Raw genomic sequence first — 22,357 nt, forward strand, 5'->3', positions numbered from 1 at the left:
CAGCCCCAAGTGAGGACGGGGCAGGGGTTTTATTGTCTCCTATAAACAGGGGGCGTCTCGGTCTGACGTAACTGCTACGCGGTACCCGGATGGCCTCTTTCTCCATCTTCAGGGGTAGGTGTCTTCCAACCAGGGTAGGTGTCTTCCGGCCGGCTCTTTTCCTGCTTCTGCTGTCTTGCTGGCGTACGCAAGTAGCCCTGCGCCTGGCGACTGGGCCTGAGAAGGGAGGGGTTACTCATCCCTTCAAGCTTTCAGGCCCCGGGGACAATCTTTCAGAACCAAGTAAATTCTGAAGAATTTGGAAGGAAGTGAGTTTGGCTGGCTGAACTTGTGTGTGTGTGGTGTGTGTGTGTGTGTGTGTGTGTGTGTGTGTGTGTGTGTGGTGTGTTGGGGGACTGGTGGGAAGGGCAGTAGTGGGGAAAGATCTGGAGTTAGACGTGGTCATACCTGAAAAGTAGGGAGGACCTTGCTAAGGATTTGGACTTTATTCTTAAGACAGCGGGGAGCCACGGGAGGGCTTTTAGCAGGAAAGCAAGGTGATAGGGTTTGTGTCTTTGAAAAGTTACTTTGGCAGCAGTTATAGGGGGCAGTCTGAAGGTGGGGAAGTCAGTGAAGAGGCTCCTAAACCAAGGCAGCATGTTAGTGGCCAAAGGAAAGACAGACGGGGGCATTGGTGAAAGGAGAAGCAGACAAACTAGAAATATCTAGAAGTCATGCCAGTGAGACTCTGGAGTCGGATTGTTTGGGTTCACCTCTCAGCTTCTTCACTTACTCACTTACTGCCTATAAGATCCTGGGCAGACTACTTACCCTCTGCGTTTCCATTTCTTTATCAGTAAAATGGAAGCGATAATAGTATCTGTGTATCTCAACAGCATAGAATGAAATGATTTAATATACATAAAAGAATTAGAACAGCACCTTTTGTTGCTACTTCTACAATGATCATTAGTAGTAGTAATGCTGACTGGATGTGGGAGCTGAGGGAGAGGAGAAGTTGAGCTGACACCCAGTTCTTGGGCTTTGACATCAGGGTATACCGTCAGCAAGAGTCTGGCACGTGGTAAGAGCTTATTAAGAACATGCAGGCTGGGCGCAGTGGCTCACGCCTGTAATCCCAGCCCTTTGGGAGGCTGAGGCAGGTGGATCACCTGAGCTCAGGAGTTCAAGACCAGCCTGGCAAACATGGCAAAACCCCGTCTCTACTAAAAATTCAAAAAATTAGCCAGGTGTGGTGGTGGGTGCCTGTAATCCCAGCTACTTGAGAGGCTGAGGCACGAAAATTGCTTGAACCTGGGAGGCAGAGGTTGCAGTGAGTTGAGATTGCACCACTGTACTCCAGTCTGGGCAACAGAGCAAGACTCCATCTCAGAAAAAAAAAAAAAAACGACATGAAAGAACGAATGAACAGCACAAGGTGAGTGCTCTGGGGAGGGTGCAGGGAAAGGGGATGTGCTGAGGCCCCTCTGGGACATGTTGAGTTTGTGGTGCCTGCAGGCAGGATAACCAAGTATCCTAGAGAACCTGGGAAGTTGGTCAGTTGACCTGCAGGACATCAGTGTGTGTGTGTGTTGGTGGGAAGAGGGGAGGTCTGTAATCCATCTCAAAGATTCTGTATGTAGGTGTTATGTTCTAAGTGTTTGGAAATTGGGAGATTCAGGGAGAGACCGCTTCAGGCCCCACAGCAAGGTGCTACTCTATCTTATTCAGGTCCTTCTGTCTTAGATAGTGACAGTAAAAGCAGGCCCAGGTGGCTAGGCTGAAAGGAGACAGTGGGGAAAAATGACAATTTTTTGGACTTCCCTGTGTGCCAGCAGGGACCCATCATTCCATACCTCTGACCTTCCTCCAAGGGACTATTGTGCCCCCAGACTAATGCCCAAGGCCAGGCTAAAGCTCCCCTAAAGCTACATGAGATGTTCTACGTATATTGTCTGATTATTCCTCACAGAAACCCCTCTCTAATAATCACCGTCTCTGTTATCAGATGAAGAAATAGGGGCAGACAAGTTCAGGGCCTCTTCCAAGGTCAGAGCTGGTGAGTGGGCATGGCAGGCCTACACCCAGTTGTTGGACTCCAAAGGCTACAAGGGAAGCCGCCTTTTGATGGCTTTCACTGGGTGACCCTCCCTGCTTCCCAAGGCGTACCAGCAAATGGAAATGTCTTTCCTGTTGGAAATCAACGGATCAGGGAAGTATGTAGAGGATGCACCCCCTGCCCATGCCCCTCCTGGGGTGATGTGTTCCCAGAGCAGACCAAGCCACTTAGGAACCTGAGCAAACTCTTGTGGACATTCCTGGAGCCTCAGGGAAGGTTCAGTCTTGTGGTCCACTTTCTACCAGCTAGAACCAGATGGGGGCACAGTAAGAGGTAGGTTTGTGTGAGTGAGGAGTGGGGCTAGGGCTAGGGAATGGGGGCCAGCCAGGCATTCTAGGCCCAGGGACCCAGCTGAATGTGGTACACAAACTGTTTGGCTTGGCACCTGGGCAGGCAGCACCCAGCTCCACAACACCCTCCTCCTTGGATACACTTGCTTCCTCCCTGACCAGTTTGGGAGGGGGGAGAATGGCCATGCCAGACATGTCATGCCAGGCTTGAGCCAAGGCCAAGAGAAACCACAGGAAGCCAGCAGAGCCTGGGGGAAAATAGAAACTGGGTGGGGGTGAGGCAGGGCAAGGGGGAAACAGCATGGCAAAGCAGAAGAAGTGGGGGCTGCGCTGGTCTGGGTCCTGGGGAGCTCCGGTGGGCTGGTCCCAGGAGAAGAGTTGGAAAAGCACAGTGGCAAGACTAAAGGGGAGAAAACAGCCAAACAGCCCAAACCTGGATACTCTAGGGGGGAAATGCATAATGCGAAGGACAGCCACATGAAACTAGCAAACATTGTCTAGAGCCGGGGAAATGAATCAAGAGCAGTACCAGACTCCAAACTGAAACCCAAGGCAGAACTACCCCAACCCTCTCAGCCCAAGCCAGCCAATCCAAAACAGATTGGTTGCCTGCTGAGAGGAAAAAGGTGGAGAAGCCAGGGTGGATAGATGATGTGCTGGTGTGCTCGTGGGCCGGGGAAGGCAGCTGGGCTCAGGTGACGTGGGAAGGAGGAGTGGCTCCCTCTTAGCACATTTCAATATGCTAAGCACATTCATATATCTCATTTAATCCCCAAAGCCCTGTAAAATAGTGTCTGTTATTCCCATGTTATAGATGAGGCAACTAAAACCCAGAGGAGTTAAGCAACTTGCCTGAGGTCACACAGCTAGGATGTAACAGAGCTGGGACTTTAGTTTAGCTCCAACTCCAAAGTACCAGGTTCTTAACCCCTATCCTTTAGTACATCCCCTAAAACTATAATCTTTAGGATCCAGAGACTTGGGTTCAAGTCCTAGCTCTATCACTAGCTACGAGGCCATGGCAAGTCACTTCCTCTCTCTGAGCCCAAGGTTCTCTGTCTCTAAAATGAGAGAGTCCAGTGGGATGATTGGCAGACAGATGTCCCGAGTGAATATCATGCATAGAGGTACAGGAACTTCCTAATGGGGTTACTGGCTCTGCTCTTGAATTGTTTATGCTTACTGGGTGCTTGCCTTCTCTGGGTCTCAGTTTGCCTTACTGTGCAATGGAAAGTATCTTTTTTGAACCCTTCCAGTCTCCTGGGAATGCTGTGAGTTGAGATGAGGAGGAAAGACCTGAGCTGCTCCAGGAGAAAATGGCTGAACCATTTTGTCCAGCATTGGAGGTCTTAGGAGGGATTGGCAGTGTTCCCAGGGAGAACCAAAAGCAAGGGACCTCTGGACAAGCCCCCCTCATCTCATGCCTCTGATCGCCCTCCAAAGGACTATTGTACCCCCAGACTAATGCCCAAGGGCAGGCGAACAACAGGAACCAACACTTGGCTAGCACTTTCCATGTGCAAGTCATTGCACTTATTCTCTCACTTAACCCTCACAGTACTCTTCTGGGATGGCTACTGCTAGATGTCTTGTAATCCCCATTTTATAGACGAGCAAACTGAGGCACAGAGCCATAAAGTGACTTATAGCAGAGCCTGGGTCAGAAGTCAGGCAGTCTGGCCCAGAGTCCACGCATTTAACCAGGGTGCTGGGCTGCCTCTCAAGAGCAATTCTGAGAGGGCTGAATGAGATGACAAGCCTTGGGAAGTGGCCCATCAGTGGGGCTCAGGAACCATCGTATTTCCAGGGTACCTGCTCCCAGAGCTGACCTTGGGTTGTGAGCTCAGCTGGGGCGTGCCTGGGGCTCCTGGATTGCCCTATTTCTGTCATTACCCTAGGTATTCTAGAGTTAAGGGGAGCCTGGGTTGAGGGGATGGTTCTGGCTGCCTGGGGAGGTAGGGGATGTGAACACTGTGGTATCAGCATTGAGCCCTGGAGACCCTTGGCCTTGATCAGCACCCCCAGAGAGTCCACAAGAGAGCTTCTGAGGCTGGTCATGCCTAATAACCATCTTCTTATGAAGAGCATTAAGACATTTCTAGGAGCTTTTCACCAGAAATGGCTCTTTATCTTCCCTTGTGAGGAGTAGCAATGCAATTATAGCCCCAATTTACAGACAGACCTGCAGGGGAGGTGTAGAGCAGGAGGTGACTTGCCTGGGATTCCCCAGTGGGTTAGAGATGAAGCCGGGATGGAGCTGAGGAGGATCTTGTGGTGACAGGAGAAGGGTCCAGCCATGACTGACCTTACCACTCACAGCCTCCCGGAAGCAAATCTTCAAGAGGGCCCAAGTGGGAGCCCTGGGTGATTCCAAGAGAAGGAGCCAGTTGTGCATGAATTTGGAGATTTTTCTCAAGGAGTCATTTTCTTGGGTCTCCTGAGCACTGAGGAAAGGAGGAAGACATCATGGGGTTGGTGGTAGGGGCAGGCGGCGACAAGGAAATTGTCCTTGGGTGAAGGACTAAAGATAAGAATAAAAAACAAAGTCTTTTTGTTGTTGTTGTTGTTGTTGTTGTTGTTTTTGAGATGGAGTCTCGCTCTGTCACCCAGGCTGGAGTGCAGTGGTGCAATCTCAGCTCATTGCAACCTTCCACCTGCCGGGTTCAAGCAATTCTCCTGCCTCAGCCTCCCAAGTAGCTGGGACTATAGGTGCGTTCCACCATGCCCAGCTAATTTTTTGTATTTTTAGTAGAGATGGGGTTTCACCATGGTGGCCAGGCTGGTCTCGAACTCCTGACCTCGTAATTCGCCTGCCTTGGCCTCCCAAAGTGCTGGGATTACAGGCTTGAGCCACCACGCCCAGCCTAATCACCTGTGTCTTAACAAGCCCTCCAGGTGATTCTGACACACACTGAAAATTAAGGACCACTGTTACAGAAGAAAAGGATGTGGTATCGGTATGCTAGGGCTGCCTTAACAAAACATCAAAAACTGGGCGGCTTAAAACAACTGAAATGCATTCACTCATAGTTCTGAGGCCAGAAGTTCTAAACCAAGGTGTCAGCAGAGCTGCGCTACCTCTGAGGGTGCTGGGGTGGGTGCTTCTTTGCCTCTTCCAGCTTCCGGCAGCTGCTGGCGTTCCTTGTGGCTGCATCACTCCAGTCTCTGCCTTCTGCCTTCACGTAGCTTTCTCCTCTTTCTCTCTGTGTCTCTCTGTGGTCTCTGATAAGGATACTTATCATTGGATTTAGGGCCCACCTGGATCATCCTGACCATCTCACCCCAAGATCCTTAATACATTTGCAAAGGCCCCTTTTCTAAATAATGTCCCATTTACAGGTTCTGGAAGTTGTATATCTTCTGGGGCCTCCATTTCACCCACTACAAGGCGAGGAGGGAAAGTGGGCCTGGACCCTGTGAGAGAGCACTTGGGGGTAAGAAGCTGAGGCTAGAGTCAGGAAGAAAAACAGGAGGGTTAGAGTGGGCAGTAGTCACGAGCCGGCTGTGCCCACCATGGGGGCATCTGGCCAAGTGAGGCCCACAGCTGGTTGGAGAAGGGAGCAACAGGGGCAACAAGGCCAGAGGTCTGGGGTGCTCTCATCTAAGGCCTTGTCCTGAAGGTGCCGTCTGCTGTGGAAAAGCCTCCCCGCCAAAATCTGCCTGCAAGCTGTGCAGGTGATCTAGTGAACCCTGTTGGCACCACCCATCCTGCCTGCCAGCCAGAGGGCCCTAAGGCCCAGCTGTGCTGTAGGGCCCAGCCGAGGGGTCCCCAGGGACGCACGAGGTGGCAGATGGCCTCCCTGGCATGGCTATTTTGGGCTCCGTGATTATATGCTACTGTATTTGGATCTTCCCAAGGTTCCGGGAGTTGATTACCACATACGTTTGGGGCAGAGGCTGCTCTGAGGTGGGTGGGTGGGCGGGTAGGCAGCCCCCTGCAGCCCTCAAGGGTCTGAACATGGGTAATTTGGCTCCTGAGAGATGCTAGGAGAGTGTTCGTGGTGGGCTGGGCCAGGGGATCAGGGGTGATTCTTTCAGCCGTAAATGCCGGTCTGGGACAGAGTTGGCCCAAGTCGGGCCACCCAGGAGCAGTGCGGGAACACCTCAGCTCAGACTTGTGGGGCTCCTCAGCCTTCCTGCTAGCCCTCTCTGGCTATGGTGCTAGGGCTTTCTTGGGCCAGAATGTTCTCCTCTGACTGGGCCACTCCTGCCCTCTGCGCCCCACAGAGCTCAAGCAGGCCAAGGCCTGAGAGGCCTGAGGCAAGAGTACCCCGGGTGTTGCGAACTGATAGCTCAGATTTGGTGTAGGTGCAATTAAGCCCCCAGTCGGGACCAGGAGGTGGGTGATCCCTCCCCCATGGGGAGAGGACAGAGGCAGGCTTTCTCCTCAGCTCTCCTTCCTCTTGTATTATTGCCCCTTCCTGAGCAGCTGATGCCAGTGCAGAGCCCTGGCCTGAGTTCTGGGTCTGTCAGGAGGGAAGAGGAGACCGAACTATTGGTGTGTCTCTGTCCATCCATCCATTCATCCTTGCATCCATCCATGCATCCATCCATCCATCCATCCATTCATCCATCCCTCCCTCCCTTCATCTATCCATTCATCCATCCCCCATCCCTCCTTCCCTCTGTCCCTCCCTCCCTCCCTCCATCCATCCATTCATCCATCCCTCCCTCCCTTCATCTATCCATTCATCCATCCCCCATCCCTCCCTCCCTCCCTCTGTCCCTCTTTCCATCCATATATCCATTCCTCCATCCCCATCCCTCCCTCCCCCATCCCTCCATCCCTCCACCCATCCATCCATCCATCCATTCATCCATCCCCCATCCCTCCCTCCCTCTCTCCTTCCATCCCCCATCCCTCCATCCATCCATCCCTCCCTCCCTCCCTCCCCCATCCCTCCATCCCTCCACCCATCCATCCATCCATCCATTCATCCATCCCCCATCCCTCCCTCCCTCTCTCCTTCCATCCCCCCTCCCTCCATCCATCCCTCCCTCCCTCCCTTCATCTATCCATTCATCCATCCCCTGTCCCTCCATCCATCCCTCCATGCATCCATCCCCCCATCTGTCTGTCCATCTGTTTGTTTTTGTAAACTTTGACGAGTGCTTGAAATGCCTAACACAAGAGATACTGAGATAAATAATAAAACAAGGGCCCTGCCTTTTCAGCAGCTCTTGGTCTGATGTAGGAATATTAGATACACCAAGACCCCATCTTCATCCTTCCCTTCCCATACATTCTCCCATTCTGTGCACTTAAAATTCTGTGACAGAAAAGTCAGTGCAAGCAAACATGATGTAAAATATGTATATAAAAGCTAAAAGAGAATTGACTAAAATGATGAAAACCGGGTGAAGCCCAGTGTGTGTAATAAAAATCATATTGGTAGTTAATGTTTGGTGAGTGCTTACTATGTTACCAGGCTCTAGGCTAATCCTTGGCAGACTACCTCATTCCTTGCAACAAGCCTCTAAAGGAGGTCCTGTGATCCTTTTTTTACAGATGAGGAAGTGAGGATGTAGGGAATTGATCAGTTGGTAAAATGGTTCATCTGCATACAAAGTTCATGCATGCTGTTAGCCATGACTTTAGACTGTGCAGAAGGGCAGCTGTGAGGGACCCTTGAGGTCTAGTTCCCAAGGCTGTCTACCTCACAGCACTAGGGAAACTATAAAGTGCAGATCCCCAGGCCCCTTCTCAGACTTAGTGAACTGGAATCTTCAGGGCTGGGGCCCAAGAATCTGGATTTTTAAAAAATCTTCCCAGGTGATTCTGATGCACAGCTAGGTTTGGGAGCCACTGCTCCAATCCTCGCCACTCAAAGTGAGCTTCATTGGTCAGCAGCATCGGCGTCACTTGGGAGTATAAGTGCAGACCTGCTCACGCAGATTCTGCATTTTAACAGGACCCATCCCTCCACCCCCCAGGGGATTAGTATGCAATTCAAAATTGGGAATCACTGTTCTTTTGTTCAGGAGCTTCTGGGACATTCTGCGCCCTCTCCCAACCTCAGCTGAGATGGACAGCAATCATTATCAGCTGTCCATAGGTCTGTCCCCTAGGCCCTAAGGACTTTCTGCAGAAAGTCTCCAACCCTTAGAACCGCTTTTTTGTACCCCCGCAGTCACTTGTACACATGGGATGTAAATGTTAAGGTTTAGACTGGTTTGGTTGTGGACCCACTTGGAGGCAGTGAAAGGTACTAGATAACCTTTTGGGCGATGCAGTTGGGCAGATAAAGGTTAGACTTTGGGAAGAACATCCTAGCTGTCTATACCACACAAAGGGGAAAAGGCTAGAGTATCTTCTTGGGAAGGTACATTAGAGTCACACTCTCCTCACCTGGCCTGGGGGCAGGAGAAAGTGTATGACGATCTCACTCTGATCCCATCATGACGTTTTCTGGGAGTATCCTCAGAGAATCCCAGAGAGGTAAGAGAAGGCTCAGGCTGCAGCCAGGAAGAGTGGAGCCAGCACCTGTGGCCTGCAGCAGCCTTCCACTGGCCACACCCCTGGAGCCTTTGCCTGCCCCCTCCTCCTCCCCAGCGCCTCAGCCATCCTGATGAGAGAAGAAGGGTCGGGGGCTGGGAAAGTGTGATCTTTTTCGAGAGCGTGTGAGTAATTTTCCATCTGTTTATGAGCTGTTGGAGCCCAGGTGTCTGCCAGCCACTCGCTGGAGGGTGAAAATCCACACAGCAACCGGAAAAGGCGGCAAGCACACCAGGCTCCTTCCCTGGCCACCGGCTGAGGCTGCGTGGGTGGAGGCTGCCCTCCTAAGACCACAGGACCTTAGAATACTGGGGCTGGAAGGCGTCATGGAGGTCACTAAGTCCAACTGACTCTTTTACAGGTGAGGAAACCAAGCAGTTGAAAGAGGAAGTTACTTCCCAGTGTCGCCCAGTGAATCAGTGGCAGCGCTGCAGCTAGCTGGAACCCAGACCAGGCCTGCAGATGCTTTTTTGGCTCTGGAAGGGGATGATCTATTTATGAGCCTCTGTGACCACTGCAACCAGATGGCTCTAAGAGCAGTTGTTCTGGAATGTGACCCCATCCGGGGGACTCTCGCCAAAGTCGCTTCCCTCCCCTCACCACCCTGACACCTGTTTTGAGACTTGGAGCCAGCTCCTTCCTTTGCCCTCCCTTAAACGACTCTAGCAAGGCCTGGTCTGGAGGACTTTGAGGGTCCTGGGAGGGGTCTGGACTATGGAGAGGGAGGAGCGAGGCCCATGGTGTTTGGGGGGATGTGCTGCCGTGGCGTGGCAGTCACTGAAAGGTTGCAGTGCCTTCAGGGCCCTGGCAGCCCACAGAGAGGACATCATTGCTGTCCCCTCGCAAAGCAATCTCTTCCCCAAGGAAAAAGGACAAGTCCAGCTCTCTCTGCCCTCCCCATGTTTCCTAGAAGAATTCCACTTTTTCTCCAGAAGGTGTCCTGCCTTTATTGCCTGGTGAGTGGGGAGTGCAGCACCTTTCTGGGGCTGGAGGCCACAGAGGACCATCAGCACAGGTGACCCTGGCCCCCTCCCTATCCTGGGAGCCGAGGCACCACAGTTGGGAAAGAGGAGAGAAGGCAGGAGTTGGAATGAAGGGAAAGAGGAAAGAAACTTTCTTTGAGCATCTCCTGCGTGATAGATACCAGGTACCTTCCTCAGGCTGATCTCCATTCAGCAGCAGGGCCACCAGTACCACTCACCGAGGCTCCACTGCAGCCGACTCCTGACTTCGCTCTCTCCTCCCCTTCACAGTCCACACCAGTGGTGTCCATCAGTTCTTCATCTACAGGCGAAGCATTCTTACCCTTCTGATAAGGTGCTTTCCAGCCCTTATCTTATTTGATTGCATAGGAGCATGTGATAATGTTGCCTCCTCTTTCCTTAAAGTCCTTTCTTCCTGTGCCTTCTGTAAGGAGACCCCATTCTCCTAGATCTCTCCTCTCTAGTCACTCCTCGATTCTCCTTGGAAGCTCCTCTTCCCCTGCCCATCCTATAAATGGCAGAATTCTTTGGGAGCTCTGCCCTATCTCTGCTTCAGTTTCTCCCTGGGAGGTTTCTCATCTGCCCATGGACTCAGTAACTACCTGTGTACTGATGGTTCTCAAGTCTTAGCTTTAGCTTAGATTGGTACAATGAACGGCCTATTGGAATCTCCACTTGCATGACTCACGGGGCTTCAAACTGAACATTTCTCAAAGTAAACCCATCATCTCCTATGCATATTCCTTCTCCACATCCTCTGTTTCGAGAAATAACATCATTTAGTTCCCTAATTCGGAGACTTGGGTGTCATCCTTAACTCTTTCACCACTGCATCCAATCAATCAAGTCCCAGTGACTGTACATCCTGTTCGCTCTGGAGTAGGTCCTCTTTTCCTTACTTCCTGGTGGCCACCATTGTCTGCCCGCCATCATCACTTGCCTGGGCTGCTGTAACAGCCTCCTTACAGGCCCCCAGCTTCTACTCTGGACTTACCCCAGTCTTTTCCCCACATTGCAGCCAGATGGATCTTAAGACACGAATGTGATCATGTCACTCCCCTGCTTAAAATTCTCAGTTGGCTCCCAATTATCCTGAAGACAAAGCCCAAACTCCTTGGCTAATGTACAAGGCAACCCACAACCTGGCTCCTGCCCATCTCTCACCACTTCCCCTCCCACTCTATGCTGTAGCCAGACTGAGTAACTTGCAGTTCTCTTGGGCGTGCAGCCTGTGCTCCTGTGCTTTGCTGTTCCCTCTGCCTGATATACTTGCTCCTAGTTCTCCTTCTCACCATCCTAATTCATCCTTCCCACCTCCTACTCATCCTTTAGGTCTTACCTTGAATGTCTCCTCCTGAAGGAGGCCTTTTCTGATTCATTCAGCTGCCTCTGTGCTGCACTCCCAGAACAGCCTGCAATCCTACTGTTATTCTCTTATTTCATCCTGTTTCCCTCTATACTCTGAGTTCTACAAGGTTGGAGACTGAGTGTCCTTTTTTATTTTTTAATTTATTTTTTATTTTTATTATTTATTATTATTATTATTATTTTTTGAGACAGAGTCTCACTCTGTCACCGAGGCTGGAGTGCAGTGGTGCAGTCTTGGCTCACCGCAACCTCTGCTTTCAAGGTTCAAGCGATTCTCCTGCCTCAGCCTCCTGAGTAGCTAAGATTACAGGGGCCCACCACCACACCCAGCTAATTTTTGTATTTTTAGTAGAGATGGGGTTTCATCATGTTGGTCAGGCTGGTCTCAAACTCCTGACTCAGGTGATCTGCCCACCTCGCCTCCTACAGTGCTGGGATTACAGAAGTGAGCCACCACACCCAGACTGGATGTCCTTTTTTAAAATTCAGGATTCCCCATTGCTAGTACAATATGTGGCACATAGTAGGCACTGAGTGATCTTTGCTTATAATTGTACATTTTAATGAATGGGGAAAGAGGACCAGAGAGGTTAAGTAATTTGCTCAGTAACACACAATCTGTAAGATCTGGAGCTTGAATTTAAACTCAAGTATGTCTGATTCCTGAGTCCATGCTTTTTCTGCCATAACTCCCTGGTTCCCCCTTCCTCTACATTCTTCCTCAGAACACCCAAGAAGTTCTGAGGAAGGATGGACCTGGGGGAGAAGGGCCCTGCCCGCTCTCTGCTGTCGTGTTTCGGGGAGGTGGCATAGCAGACAGAGCTGAGAGGGGGAGTAAAAGCAGGAAAGCTACCCAAGGGGTTTAAAACGAGACGATCACAGATGACGGCCTGATATAGGCAATGCTGTTGGCTTCCAGTTGCAAGCACTGGCTCTCTGTGCTGTGAATTCACAGAGAGAAGGTGTATGAGGAGGCTGCAGGCCTCCACTGTCTGATAGTGTGTTGTCAGAGCCTGCACGCTCGTATGTGGATCACCCTAAATAAAACAGGAATGAGAAAAGAAACTCGTTATTTTAAAAAAGCGATACAGTGTCTTCTGCAGCCAACAATAACATAATTTAGAATTACCTGCTATATGAGGATGATCTATGTCCCTGCAGCCCCTGAGCCTTCATAGGGAATGGAGAGGCAGGAGCTACAGGTACAGCATTGAAGACTACATAGGGGCATTCACCATTTCCAGAGCTCCAGGTTGGGGTATGGGGGGCAGGAGAGGGAAGAAGAGGAAGCCTCAGATCCCTCCCACCCGGGAAGCCAGGAGGCTCTATTCCCCAGGCAGGACTCCCCCAGCCATTTCCCCTTTCCTTCCTGCTGTCAGCTGCAGCTGACAGGAATGAGGCTGCTGGGCTCCTCGGGGAGCCACCAGGCCTTTGGGGCCAATGCAGCTGCCTCTGCCCCCAGCCCCAGGCCAGCATCCTCCCCTGGCCCCCACTAGCCTGCCTCTCAGCTGCACATCTGCTAACTGGGGGCCTGAAGGGCCTTAGAGTAAAACCCCCCTCAGAACATCTGGAGTGTGGGGGGCTGGAGGGGAGCCCACCTGGAAGGGAGAGGAGATGGGAAAGTGGAGAGGGAAAGGGGAAAGAGAGAGAAGAGGAGGGAGAAGGAGGACTGTTGAGGGAGGGGCCAGACTGAGGGGATGAGGGGGAGATTGGAGGCAAACAAATAGTCCCCGGATTCTTAGTTCTGCCTTTTGTTGAGGTGAAATGGGTTGGAGGGGGTGTGGTGAAGGGGGTGCCCAGGGCTCCTCCAAGTCATCAAATGACACCACTTACGTCATCTCACTCCTCTGATCAGAAACCGCCCACAGACCACTGACCAGCTGGGGCAAATCTTCCCCTAAATTATACCTGTTTTCACCTTTGTGTCCCTATACCCTGCTCTCTACTCCAGCGAAGCCACTTCCCTTTCTTCCCCCTACCTCCCCAAACTTGTCCTTCTACCTCCATGCATTGGCTTAAGCTGTTTCTCAGACTAGGAAGTCTTTCCTTTTCCTTTCTGCCAAGCCTTGACTATACTGCCTGCATCAATACAGCCCTCTCCTCCTCCAGGAAGCCCCCCTAGAATAATTCCATCTGACTCTGGGCCTGCTGGGGAACACTAAATACCAGAGCCAGGCATCCTCACTCTTTATAATTATTTCTTGTCTCTTAGCCTTGGCTTTCCCATCTGTAAAGTGGGTGCAGCCCCTGGGCTCCTGTACGTGAAAGGTACCATGGGTGATTAGTGGCAGGATTGCCACCAGCTGAGCCAAATGCCCTGCTGGACCAGAGTCTGCCAGCAACTACCTGCTGCCAGGGGCATGGAGAAGAACCTGACAAGAATTCAGGTTGTGGAAAGGAACAGGGCACTGACAATACATAGCCTTTAGGTACTGCCCAGAAATCTGGTTTCGGACTTGTGGGATTGGGACACTAAATGGTAGCCTTTTGGCAGGTGTGAAAAGTTTGGAAAGGGCTCCATGCCCAGCCCATGGCAGATGGGTATGCTTCCTGTCTCCTTTCTCTCCCTGACAAGAGTCCTGAATCTGACTGTGTCCAGACTGCTTTGAGACTTGAAAGTCAGAGGGAAGAAGGAAAGTAAGCCTTAGGGAGCATTTGCTAGGTGCCAAGCATTGTGTCAGGCACATGCATGGGCACTCTCACCACACTCCTTAATTGAGGGCTTCAACGCACCCAGCAGGAAGACATTCTGACACTCTCGAGTCATGGCTCAGTCTGGGGACTCCAGACTGTGGCAGCCCAAATAATCTGTCTACTTTTAGCTGGAAGGGTGATGTTTGATTTTAGGGTCTCTGAAAATAGTGCTGCTTTTCTGTGAAAACCAGCTCTGCCATTTCTAGATAAAGTATCATAACCAAATTGTCTGAACATTCTGAGCCTCAGTTTTGTGATCTATAAACTAGGAATAACAAAGTGGTTGTTTTGAAGACTCATGAGATGACGTATAGGAAGACTTAGCACAATGCCAGGTACATCCTGAGTGCATGATAACTGATGGTCCTAATACTCTTTTTTTTTTTTTAAGATGGAGTCTTGCTCTATTGCCTAGGCTGGAGGGCAGTGGCGCGATCTCGGCTCACTGCAATCTCCGCCTCCTGGGTTCAAGCTACTCTCCTGCCTCAGCCTCCCAAGTAGCTGGGATCACAGGTGCCCACCACCATGCCTGGCTAATTTTTTGTATTTTTAGTAGAAGCGGGGGTTTCACCATGTTGGTCAGGCTGGTCTCGAACTCATGACCTCGTGATCCGCCTGCCTCGGCCTCCCAAAGTGCTGGGACTACAGGCGTGAGCCACCGCGCCTGGCCAAGATGGTCCTACTATTCTTTTTTTTTTTTTTTTTTTTTTTTTTGAGACGAAGTCTCACTCTGTCGCCCAGGCTGGAGTGCAGTGGCCCAATCTCAGCTCACTGCAACCTCCGCCTCCTGGGTTCAAGCGATTCTCCTGCCTCAGCCTCCCGAGTAGCTGGGACTACAGGCATATGCCACCACGCCTGGCTAATTTTTTTTTTTTTTTTTTTTTTTTTTTTGAGACGGAGTCTCGCTCTGTCGCCCAGGCTGGAGTGCAGTGGCGGGATCTCGGCTCACTGCAAGCTCCGCCTCCCGGGTTCACGCCATTCTCCTGCCTCAGCCTCCCAAGTAGCTGGGACTACAGGCACCCGCCACTACGCCCGGCTAATTTTTTGTATTTTTAGTAGAGACGGGGTTTCACCGTTTTAGCCGGGATGGTCTCGATCTCCTGACCTCGTGATCCGCCCGCCTCGGCCTCCCAAAGTGCTGGGATTACAGGCGTGAGCCACCGCGCCCGGCCTCTGGCTAATTTTTTGTATTTTTAGTAGAAACGGGGTTTCACCGTGTTAGCCAGGATGGTCTCCATCTCCTGGCCTAGTGATCCACCTGCCTCAGCCTCCCGGAGTGCTGGGATTACAGGCATGAGCCACTGCACCCAGCCTACTGTTCTTATTAGACTAATCTCCAGAACTGGCTCCTACCACATCATCATTTTCCACCAGGGTGGGAGCCTGAGGCAGGATGCTTTGTGCAGCTCAGGGAAACTCTGGCTGTGAGGAGCTGGAGTAGGATAGACTGGAGGGGTTCCTCACCTCTGGTCAGGCTTTGCTGCAAAACTAGTTTATCCAGGAAGGGAAAGATACTTCCTCCACCCCTGACCTCAGGAATGGTCCGTCTGGTGGTGAGTTGCCCCTGCCATGAGTGAATGTGGGTCATTCCTTCCATTATGTTTGCATTCTGCAGATCTGTGTTGTACACTTCCCCATGCCAGGTGCTGATGTGCCTGCCTTCAGTGAGTTTGTTACCAAATAAGGGCTGTGAGACATGTTCACAAATAGTACATGCTAGAATAAATATAGCTGGTGCATATGCAAAGTCCAGAATGCTGTGGGAAGGGGAGGAGCAAGTGTTTGCTGGGTGAGTGTGCCAGCACTGTGCCAGTTTTGAAGGTAGAATAGGAGTTGAACTGGTGGACGCTGAATGAGGTGGCTCATGCCTGTGATAGTATTTTGGGAGGCTGAGGCGGGAGGATCTCTTGAACTCAGGAGTTGAAGATCAGCTGGGGCTGTAACAATAGTTGAGACTCTGTCTCTACAAAAAAAAAAAAAAAAGGAAAGAGAAAAGAGTTGAAAAGACAGTTTTTGCTAGGAGGGAAAAGCCTGAGTGAAGTGTGAAGGCAGCGAATTGGGGGCGCGGGGATGGGGTGTGACATTGCTTTAGAGAATGGCAGCTTGGTTTGGTGCAGACACAGCTTCCTGTGCTTGTAGCACTGTCTGCCTGCCCACTTGAAGGAAGACCTGTGTGTAGGAGATAAATCTGCAGAGAGGGCCGTGACTTTTGATGACCAGCTAAGGACTGCCTCACAGGCAAGGGAGGTTCACCACAGGGTTTTCGTGGAGACAGATGTGTGTCCCAGAAAAGCACTTGGACCTAGCTGTCCATAGTGGACCCCAGAGCTTCTGCCATGGGCCACAAGTGAGGCCAGTTAGGAGATCACTTCAGGAGGGGTCCTGGACCACAGCAGTGGCCTTGGGGTCAGGAGGAGCGGGCATGGCCTTGAGATTCCATTACCAGGACCTGGTGACTGATTGTATAGGAAATCCAGGCAAAGGTGGGACACAGAGCAGGTGAAATGAAGCAAATAAATCCCTTTCCACTGCCTGCTCCTCGTCTCTCCCTCCCCAGCGCCCTTCCCCGCTCAGGCTGCAGAGTCCGTGGAGCACTCCCTTGCCGGCCCCCCTTAGCTCAGCTCTCCAACAGCCTGGGAGTTAATTATACACTGACGTACTTTGTTTTTAAAAACATGTTTATTTTTGCTCTGACTCATTGTAGAAAATTTAGAAAATACAAAAAATAAAAAGAAGAAAATAAAAATCACCCACAATTCTACCACCCAGACACAATGCTTGTTAACATTTCTGTGTATTTCTCTATGAGCACACATACTCTTACAAACACACATGCTTCCTTTGTGATACATTAAATCTTTACATATTATGTCAGCATCTGGTTTATTGTCTCTTTAAAATTGTGCGAGTACATCACTAGTGTAAGACTTTTAGCTTTAAATATTTAACAATTGAGATATAATTTACACAGCATAAAGTTCTCTCTTTTAAAATATGCAATTCGGTGATTATTAGCATATTTACCAAGTTGTGCAACTATCACCAATAAGTCTAGAACATTTTTTGTCACCCAAGAAAGAAAATCCTTACTCATTAGCAGTCACTCTCTATCTCATCTTCCCCCAGCCCCTGACAACCAGTAATCTGCTTTCTGTCTCTTTGGATTTGCCTGTTCTGGACATTTTATATAAATGGAATAATACAATATATAGCTTTTAATATCTGGCTTTTTTTACTTAGCATAATGTTTTCAAGGTTCATCCATGTGTATATTTATGCATGTAACAGCACTTTATTCCTTTTTTATTTTTTTTAATTTTTTTATTTTTGAGATAGAGTCTCGCTCAGCCACCCAGGCTGGAGTGCAGTGGTGCGATCTTGGCTCACTGCAACCACTGTCTCCCGGGTTCAAGCGATTCTCCCGCCTCAGCCTCCCAAGTAGCTGGGATTACAGGTGCATGCCACCATGCCTGGCTAATTTTTGTATTTTAGTAGAGACGGGGTTTCACCATGTTGGCCAGGCTGGTCTTGAACTCGTGACCTCAGGTGATCTGCCTGCCTCGGCCTCCCAAAGTACTAGGATTACAGGCGTGAGCCACCGCGCCTGACCACCTTATTCCTTTTTATAGCTGAATTATATTCCTTGGTATAGATATACCACATTTTATTTTACCTCTGTATCAGTTGATGGATACTTGGGCTGTTTCCACGTTTTGGTTATTATGAATAATGCTGCTAAAAACATTTGTGTGTAAGTTTTTATGTACACATATGTTGTCAGTTATCCTGGGTATCTAACTAGAAATGGAATTGCTGGGTCATATAGAAACTCTATGTAAAACTTTTTGAAACACTGTCAAACTCTTTTCCAAAGTGACTGCACCATTTTATATTTCTGCCAGTATTGTATGGGCATTTCAATTTCTCCACATCCTTGCCAACACTTGTTATGTCTTTTTGATTATAGCCATCCTAGTGGGTGTGAAGTGGTATCTCGTTGTGGTTCTGATTTGCATTTCCCTGATGATTAATGATGTTAAGGATCTTTTTGTGTACTTATTGGCCATTTGTATATCTTGTTTGGAGAAATGTCTATTTAGATCCCTTGCCTATTTCCTGACTGGGTTGTCTTTTCATTGTTGAGTTGTCACAATTCTTTATATATTAAAGACATAAGTCCCTTATCAGATATATGGTTTGAAAATGTTTTTCTCCCATTCTGTCTTTTGTCTTTTTCACTTTCTTTATCATATCCTTTGACATAAGTCCCTTATCAGATATATGGTTTGAAAATGTTTTTCTCCCATTCTGTCTTTTGTCTTTTTCACTTTCTTTATCATATCCTTTGAAGCACAAAAGTTTTTAATTTCAATGAAGTCCAATTAGTCTATTTTTTGGTTTGTTTGTTGTACTTTTGGTGTTATATCTAAAAAACCATTACCTAATCCGAGGTCAGAAAGATATATGCCTATGTTGTCTTATAAGGATTTAACAGTTTTAGGTCTTTAAACCATTTTAATTTTTGAATATGGTTCATACATACACAATGTAGCTAGAGGTCCAGCTACATTCTTTTGCATGTAGATATCCACATGTTCCAGCACAACATTTTTGTCATCCCAAATGCTATTCTTTAAAAATGCTGTTTTCTCCTATTGAATTGTCTTAGCACTGTTCTTGATCATCAATTGCCCATAAATGTAAGAATTTATTTCTGGACTCTGAATTCTATTCAATTGATCTACATATCTATCCTTACCATATAGGGCTATATGGTCTGCATTACTGTAGCTTTGTAATAAGTTTTGAAATTGGGAAGGGTGAGTCTTCCTACTTTGTTATTTTCAAGGTTTGACTATTCTTGCTCCCTTGCATTTCCATATAAATTTTAGAATCAGCTTGTCAACTTCTGAAAAAAGACCACTAGGACTGTGATAGTGGTAGCATTGAATCTGTAGATCAATTTGTTGAGTATTGCCATCTTAACAATATTGTCTTCCAATCCATGAATATGGGATATTTTCCGATTTATTTAGGTGTTTTTAAATTTCTTTCAACAATGTTTTGTCATTTTGAGAGTATAGGTTTTGCACTGTTTTTGTTAAATTTATTCCTAAGTATTTTGTTCTTATTGATGCTATTTTAAGTGGAATTGTTTTCTTAATTTCTTTTTTTGGAATACTCATTGCAAGTGTACAGAAATCCAATTGATTTATATATATTGATCTTATATCTTGCAGCTTTGCTGTACTCATTTACTAGATATAATAATTTCTTTGCGGATTTTTATTAAGTTTCTAATGTTTAATAGGAGCAGTCCCTGTTCATTTTTCTCTTATATTTTGCTCATCTATTTATTATATGACATGAACTTTAGTTTTATTTTATGAAGGTGCCGTCACTTCCTGCCAAAAATGTCCCACTGGGATCTTAATTGGAATTACATTGTCTATAAGTTGATTTGTAGAGGCTTTACATAATTAAAAAATATAGTCTTCTCCTACAAGATTTATTATTTCTCTTAATTCAAAACATCTTTTATGTATCTCAGTAATATTTTTATAGTTTTTGTTTTTTTTCATTAATGACTCATTTCTTGTTAGAATTACTCCATGATATTTATTGGGTTGTGTTTGTTTATGAGCTTTCTTTGGTGGCTATTGCTAATGTAAAGGGGGTATTTTCATCATTGTCTCTTTTATTTATTGTTGGAATTTAGGAAAATATTGAGGTGTATACATTCATCTTGTATTTGATCACTTTATTAAATTCTCTTATTAATCTTAAGGCTTTATCATTGATTCTCTTGGAATTTATAGATATCTAATATTATTTGTAAGTAATAATTATACCTCTTATTTCTGTTTCCTGTCTTATGCGTTAGAGCTTTCAGAACAATGACTATTAGCAATTATGACAATGAACATATTTATCTTGTTCTGGATTTTAAGAGGAAGATCTCTAGTATTTTCTCATTAAGTCTGATACTGGATATCCTTTGAGATAATAGACTTTACCATGTTGAGAAAGTATTTCTCTGTGTCAATATTTTACATTTTTTTAAATTAGAAGTTTTAAATGTTGCTGAGTGGTTTTTTTAGTATATATTATGGTTATATATACTAAACCCATTATACTATAATAGAATTTATTATTTTAACATCACAGTATTCTTTGGATAATCCCATCTTGATGGTGGTAGACTATTCTTACTGTGTTTTATTGCCAGTATTGTAATTACAATATGTACATCCTAATAAAATATTCATAAATGAGAATGGGCTATAGCTTGTTTTCTGTGCTCTCTTTGATCACTTTTGTTATTGGTTTAAACTGAGTTCCAAGAATGAATTGAGTATCATTCCAGTTTTTTCTATCCCTGGAACAATTTATAGAGCATGAAAATTATTTTTTACTTGAAAGTTTGGAAAAATTTACTGACAAATTTCCTGGCCCCAGAACCTGTGTTTGAAGAGCAAATTCTTTGATAACATTTCTAATTTCTTCTTTAGTGTTTGATCTCTTTGGTTTTCTACTTCTTAGATAGTTTTGAGCATTATCTTTTCCTGAAAACTATCCATTTCATCAAAATCTTTTCCATCTGTGCTAATATATTAAATTATTTTAAGAAAATGAGTTGTATCCTGGAAAGATGTAAATGATGCTTTGTCTCACGTCTATCATGTTTTATACTTTTTAAAGGCTTAATTGATGTTTCCATTGTTCTCCTTCTTGCCTTCTCCTCCTCCTTCCTCCCATCTCTCTTTCCCCCTTTCCCTCCCTCTCTCTTTTAGGTACTCTATCCCTCAAATTTTAGCCACCCTGGCTTCCCTGAACTCTGCACGCTATCTCCTCAACTTAGAGTGAACACAAGTTCTGCCTGAGTTCCCTCTCTTTGTCCTGCAGCCTGGACACCCTCTCCAGGCAAAAGCCTGGCCAATCATAAGGCTCACAGAATGTGCCTCCCGGCTGTCAGCAATCACGGTCCTGCGCTGCCTGTTGTCCAATGCCTCAAACCTGTTGCTTTTCACTTGTTTGAGGCAAAAACAACTGCTACTCCAATCCTGCCTGGAAGTAAAAGCCAAGAAGAATTCCCCATTATCTCATTTTATTTTATTATTATTATGGTTTTCTGAGACGGAGTCTCACTCTGTCGTCCCGGCTGGAGTGTAGTGTCTTGATTTCGGCCTCAGCCTCCTGGGTTCAAGTGATTCTCCTGCCTCAGCCTCCCGAGTAGCTGGAATTACAGGCATGTGTCACCACGCCCAGTTAATTTTTGTATTTTTAGTAGAGATGGGGTTTTGTCATGTTGGCCAGACTGATTTCGAACTCCTAACCTCAGGTGATCCGCCCGTCTCAGCCTACCAAAGTGTTAGGATTACAGGTGTGAGCCACCGCTCCTGGACTATTTTATTTTTTCAGACAGAGTCTCGCTCTGTCGCCCAGGCTGTAGTGCAGTGGCACAATCTTGGCTCCCTGCAGCCTCTGCCTCCCGGGCTCAAGTGATTTTCCTGCCTCAGCCTCCCAAGTAGCTAGGACTACAGGCATGTGTCTCCATGCCCAGCTAATTTTTGTATTTTTAGTAGAGAAAGGGTTTCACCATGTTGGCCAGGCTGGTCTCGAACTCCTGACATCCGCCTGTCTTGGCTTCCCAAAGTGTCGGGAATGAGCCACCGTGCTCTGCCAAATTCCCCATTCTTGAGTTCTTCATTTAAAAATTATCTCTCTTGATTGCCTGTAGTATATTTTCAAGTAGTTTTTCCCCCAAGAACAACAGATGGCAACTGTATTTCTGATCTTTTATATAGTTGAGAATATATTTTTTTGTGGCCAACTAACTAATATATTTTTTTGTGGCCAATATAAAATTATTGGATCACAATCTATTTTTCTCAGAATCCTGTAGATAAGGCTCCATTTCCCCCTGACATGCAGTGTGCCAGGAAATTCTGAGGTCAGCCTTATCATTTTATTCTTTCAAGGAGAGCATATTTTTTCTTTATGAATGCTTACAAGATTTTTTTTCTTTATCCTTACAACTGAAATGTTTGCCAGAATGTGTTGAGGTATTCTTTCCACTTAGTTTGCTTGGGATACAATAAACATCTTAAATCTACACTATTCTTTCAGCTCTAATGTTTTCTTTTTATTATTATTATTATTATTATACTTTAAGTTTTAGGGTACATGTGCACAATGTGCAGCTTAGTTACATATGTATACATGTGCCATGCTGGTGTGCTACACCCATTAACTTGTCATTTAGCATTAGGTATATCTCCTAATGCTAACTCTCCCCCCTCCCCCCACCCCACAACAGTCCCCAGAGTGTGATGTTCCCCTTCCTGTGTCCATGTGTTCTCAGTGTTCAATTCCCATCCATGAGTAAGAACATGTGGTGTTTGGTTTTTTGTCCTTGTGATAGTTT

At 47.3% G+C, this 22,357-nt stretch overlaps 1 protein-coding gene across 18 annotated transcripts in view, besides 2 other annotated features; it reads left to right on the forward strand.

Annotated features, from left to right (window-relative positions):
• LGR6 (leucine rich repeat containing G protein-coupled receptor 6) overlaps nucleotides 1-22,357 on the forward strand; it is a 125,963-nt gene that overhangs the window by 45,205 nt on the left and 58,401 nt on the right. The window contains exon 1 of one of the 18 annotated variants that reach the window (XM_011509846.3): nucleotides 18-114. The exons of 14 other annotated variants lie outside the window; for them this stretch is intronic. Coding sequence is in view for 1 of the 4 variants with exons in the window: in XM_011509841.3 (XP_011508143.1) it covers nucleotides 1,392-1,417 (26 nt within the window). In the remaining 3 variants the exon portion in view is untranslated. Of the gene's footprint in view, nucleotides 1-17; nucleotides 115-134; nucleotides 309-403; nucleotides 1,418-7,931; nucleotides 9,246-22,357 lie in introns of those variants that run through there. 3 more of the 18 variants (XM_011509843.3, XM_011509841.3, XM_011509842.3) reach the window with 3 other exon arrangements.
• Nucleotides 2,578-3,078: an enhancer, noted in NCBI's record as "H3K4me1 hESC enhancer chr1:202210709-202211209 (GRCh37/hg19 assembly coordinates)". NCBI's record gives its function as "activates a minimal SCP1, AML or CMV promoter by ChIP-STARR-seq in primed H9 embryonic stem cells {active_cell/tissue: H9 hESC(primed)}" and the evidence as "EXISTENCE:reporter gene assay evidence [ECO:0000049][PMID:30033119]".
• Nucleotides 13,119-13,188: an enhancer, noted in NCBI's record as "active region_2334". NCBI's record gives its function as "activates an Ori minimal core promoter by ATAC-STARR-seq in GM12878 lymphoblastoid cells {active_cell/tissue: GM12878}" and the evidence as "EXISTENCE:reporter gene assay evidence [ECO:0000049][PMID:35858748]".

Source organism: Homo sapiens, chromosome 1, assembly GCF_000001405.40.
Source record: "Homo sapiens chromosome 1, GRCh38.p14 Primary Assembly".
NCBI lineage: Eukaryota > Metazoa > Chordata > Mammalia > Primates > Hominidae > Homo > Homo sapiens.